The following is a 3,965-nucleotide window of genomic DNA, read 5'->3' as shown; positions in this document are numbered from 1 at the left end:
ATTGAAATACTGTTTCTCACCCACCAGACTGGCAAAGATGATAAAGTTTGGAGTAAGGAGGTAGAGAAACAATCTTTTCACACATTGCTCAATCTCTTTGGTGGACAATTTGGTATTATCTATAAAAATTTTAAATGAATATACCCTCTGCCCCAAGAATTCCTCTGTAAATGTCCTTGTAAATATATCTTTATATATATTATATACATAATATATAAATGTATTATATATATATATATATATATATATAGAGAGAGAGAGAGAGAGAGAGAGAGAGAGAGAGTCTCATTCTGTCACCCAGGCTGGAGTGCAGTGGTGCGATTATAGCTCACTGGGCTCAAACTCCCAGGCTCAGATAATTCTCCCACCCACCTCAGCCTTCCAAGTAGCTGGGATCACAAGTGCACACCAGCACGTCTGGCCATTTTATTTTATTTTGTTTTATTTTTCTGTAGAGACAGGGTCTCACCATGTGGCCCACGCTGGTCTGCAACTCCTGGCCTCAAGCGATCCTCCCGCCTCGGCCTCCCAAACTGCTGGAATTGTAGGCATGAGCCACTGCACCTGGCCAAAAATATCTTTATAAGGACTTCCATCATAGTAGTTTTTAGTAGCACCTTGGGCCAAGGGCTCCTCATCTTGGCTTAGAGTAAGGCATGCACTCAATAAATATTTAAGTTATGCAGCTTAATCATTGACTGTATCAGACAGGCCGCAGAAAGGTAATAACAGAGAGTGTGCAGGGCACTGAAGACAGCATCCACCTCCTTCCCAAGGCCAGCCATGGCAAGCCCCGCCTCATCTAACAGAAAGGCAGCAGGGCCTCGGGGTTCCCCGCACCTTGCACTGGCCTGTGACAGGTGCCCCACAGGAGAGACCACCGAGGGTCATCTGTGCTTCTTCCGCCATCCATGGCCAGCATTCCTGCAACGATTTACTTAAAAATCTTCTACTAAATCCAATTAGTTGAGGTTCTTGGCTACAAAAACAGGAACTGGTTAATTTAAGCAAAAAAAAAAAAAAAGGAATTTATTGGAAATACATCAGAGAGATCATGGAATGAATGGGAAGACTTGAGATCAGGCTCAGAGAGCAGCATTGCTGATGGTAGACTCACAGCCAAGCTCCCCTCAGGCACTCACAGCCCCAGCTGCCTGTGGTTCTGTGACGAATCCTGAGTGGTCCCTTCATCATGTGTCACTGCCTCCAGGCCCAGCATGGGAAAGTCCAGCTGGACAAGCTGGGGCACAGGAGCTGGGAGGAGGGTGGATGGGTCCCTTTGGCTTTCATGGGGGCTGGACACAGGTCCTTCTTACATAGACTCAGCACAGGGGTTCCCTGCCTGGAGTTTGGGGATCTGGATGCTGGGCAGGCCCTTCCTCTTTTTTTTTTTTTTTGAGATGGAGTCTTGCTCTGTCACCAGGCTGGAGTGCAGTGGCCCGATCTTGGCTTACTGCAACCTCCGCCTCCTGGGTTCAAGTGATTCTCCTGCCTCAGCCTCCAGACTAGCTGGGACTACAGGCGCGCGCCACCACACCCAGCTAATTTTTGTATTTTTAGTAGAGACAGGGTTTCACTATGTTGGCCAGGATGGTCTCAATCTCTTGACCTCATAATCCGCCAGCCTCGGCCTCCCAAAGTGCTGGGATTACAGGCGTGAGCCACTGCACCTGGCCCGTTTCTCTTACAAAGATTCAGCACGGGGGTTCCTCACCCAGAGCATGAGCTTTGGATGCTGGGCAGCTGTCTACTGCAGTGACCCAAGCTTCCCCTTTGGAGACTCATTCATCAATCAATCAATCAATCAATCAATAAACATTCATTGAGCATCGGAACTGAAATACCATTGGTTGCTTTGGCTTCCCGCCACACCCTTCCCCGGCCCCAGCCCCTGCCTTTCTCCTTGCCATTTTTTCTATTCTAAATTCCTTCCACAGCTGATCACACCAAGGATGAAAGCATAACCCACGGAGCATCAGCCCAAGTTACTCCTTCTCTGTCTTGGTACCTTGAACTAAGAGCTCAGGAGTCAACAGATGACGGTTCATGCTGGAATGAAAGGCCAAGCAGAGCCGAACCAGAGTCTGTGCTGAGGCAAGCTGAAGGCCTGTGTGCATGTGTGCACACGTGTGTGCATGCGTGGGGCATGGGCATGCACAGGTGTATATGCACAGACCATGTGCCCCCATGAAACAGGGAGAAGCCGTGTCTTTGACAGCCCAAGGTGTCTAAGACACATGTGGCCTGGTTTGGCTTCTGCCTTGAGTGTCTGTGGGGTGAACTGGGTATCCTCCAGCATGCCCCATGCCACCCAGGCAAGGCCGAGTGGGTTTCTATTCCTTGTAACCACACAACCCCTGATGAAGACAGATGCCAACCCTGTGCCGGGCACAGCAGCAGCACTAGGCACTGGAGTCATGGGTGGGGATGACACCCGGAAGGTGGGTCCCGTAGCCCCTCCATGAGTGAGAGGCAGTTGTGCTCCCTGACAGGCTGCCGGATCACAGAACAGATACAAGGAGTGGAAGGGCCAGAGAGTTCCTCCGGCTCAGGCCCTTCGTGAACAGATGGGGACACGGGGAGCCACGGCGGTGAATGACAGGCCTGGAGTCACGCTGCGGGCGTGCCTGCGGAAAGCTGAGCCTGGAGGCAGTTCTCCAGTTCCTCAGGTCCTTTCTGCCTTGCCAGGCTTCTGCCAGGGTGGGAGTCTGCCCCTAGCCTGCTGGTGAGGGGCAGACACCGTGGCATAGAGGCTGTGCCCCCTGCTTGACGTGCCTCCACCCTCCACCCAAGGGCCACCTCAAGGTCTGCCCAGCAGATAGGGAGACTCGGATCCTTCGTTGCCACTTCCCGTGTGCACAGACACCTCTGGGACTCCAGGGCAGCATTGCCGCGTGTCTGAACACCCGCCGACAGGTATTAATCAACTGAGTGTGGTGATAAACTGCTCCGTCTGACAGGCATCGGCTCCAACACCGCTGGTTTACAGCTCACCGCCAAGGCCACGGTTGAAGGGGGTTTCTAAGACCGGGAGAAAAGCAGTGGGGTGTGAGCACGTCACAGAGAAAGCATGGATTTCCATCGGCATCAGCCGTTCCAGTCCTTGGCCAACTCACCTGAGCATGGGGTGTCAGGCAGGAAATGGGGCTGGGGGAATTTGGCTCAGCTCGTACTTCTGAATTCGACCCTGTGTCTGAGAGGCAAGAAGGCCTTGGAGACGCTGCTTCTGCATTGAGAAGCTTCCACTTTCCAAAGAGATCATGTGTGTTATGGGTGGGATTATGTCCCCTAAAACTCACACATCAGAGCCTAAGCCCCAATACCCGTAAGGGTAGCCTCATGTGGATATACGGTGTTTGCAGATGTAATCAAGGTAGGATGAGGTCTCTAGGATGGGCCCTAATCCCGAGTGCCTGTGTCCTTATGAAAGGGGGAGATTAGACAGAGACAGACCGCACACGGGGAGAGGCCAGGTGAGCACGCAGGAAGAGGTGGGGTGATGCTTCCAGAAGCCAGGGCCACCAGAGACTGCCAGCAACCTCCAGAAGCTGGAGGGCGGCCTGGGACAGACTCCCCCTCAGCCTCAGAAAGAACCAGCCCTGCCGGCGCCTCGGCCTGGTCTCCCAGTCTCTGAGCTGGGAGCTGACACATTTGACACATTTCCGTTGTTCAAGCCCCGGGATTGTGCTACTTTGTTACGGTGGTCCTGGGAAAGTAATAATACACCGTGTGCAGCAAGTCACTACGCAGCAGGGCTCCAGGACCCCATGAGTCATACTGTCAACGCAGGGTCCATAAATAGAAGTCATGTGGAGAATTTTCATCTGAACCATTCATTTAATTAAAAGGAAAAAAAGACAAGCTCGTCGGACAACTGGTTTAGCGGATCTTCTTCCCCTCTTCCATCAGCAGTTTGCCTCCCTTTTCTTTCGGTTCCGTGGTTCTGGTGACCAAGGGAGGCTGTG

General features: G+C 52.1%; 1 annotated feature.

Moving 5' to 3' along the window:
• Positions 2,163-2,663: an enhancer, noted in NCBI's record as "H3K4me1 hESC enhancer chr7:156838101-156838601 (GRCh37/hg19 assembly coordinates)". NCBI's record gives its function as "activates a minimal SCP1, AML or CMV promoter by ChIP-STARR-seq in naive H9 embryonic stem cells {active_cell/tissue: H9 hESC(naive)}" and the evidence as "EXISTENCE:reporter gene assay evidence [ECO:0000049][PMID:30033119]".

The sequence above is a fragment of the Homo sapiens genome, chromosome 7, assembly GCF_000001405.40.
Source record: "Homo sapiens chromosome 7, GRCh38.p14 Primary Assembly".
Taxonomy (NCBI): Eukaryota; Metazoa; Chordata; class Mammalia; order Primates; family Hominidae; genus Homo; species Homo sapiens.
The sequence above is the reverse complement of the archived record's forward strand: the minus strand, read 5'-3'. Positions and strand labels throughout refer to the sequence as shown.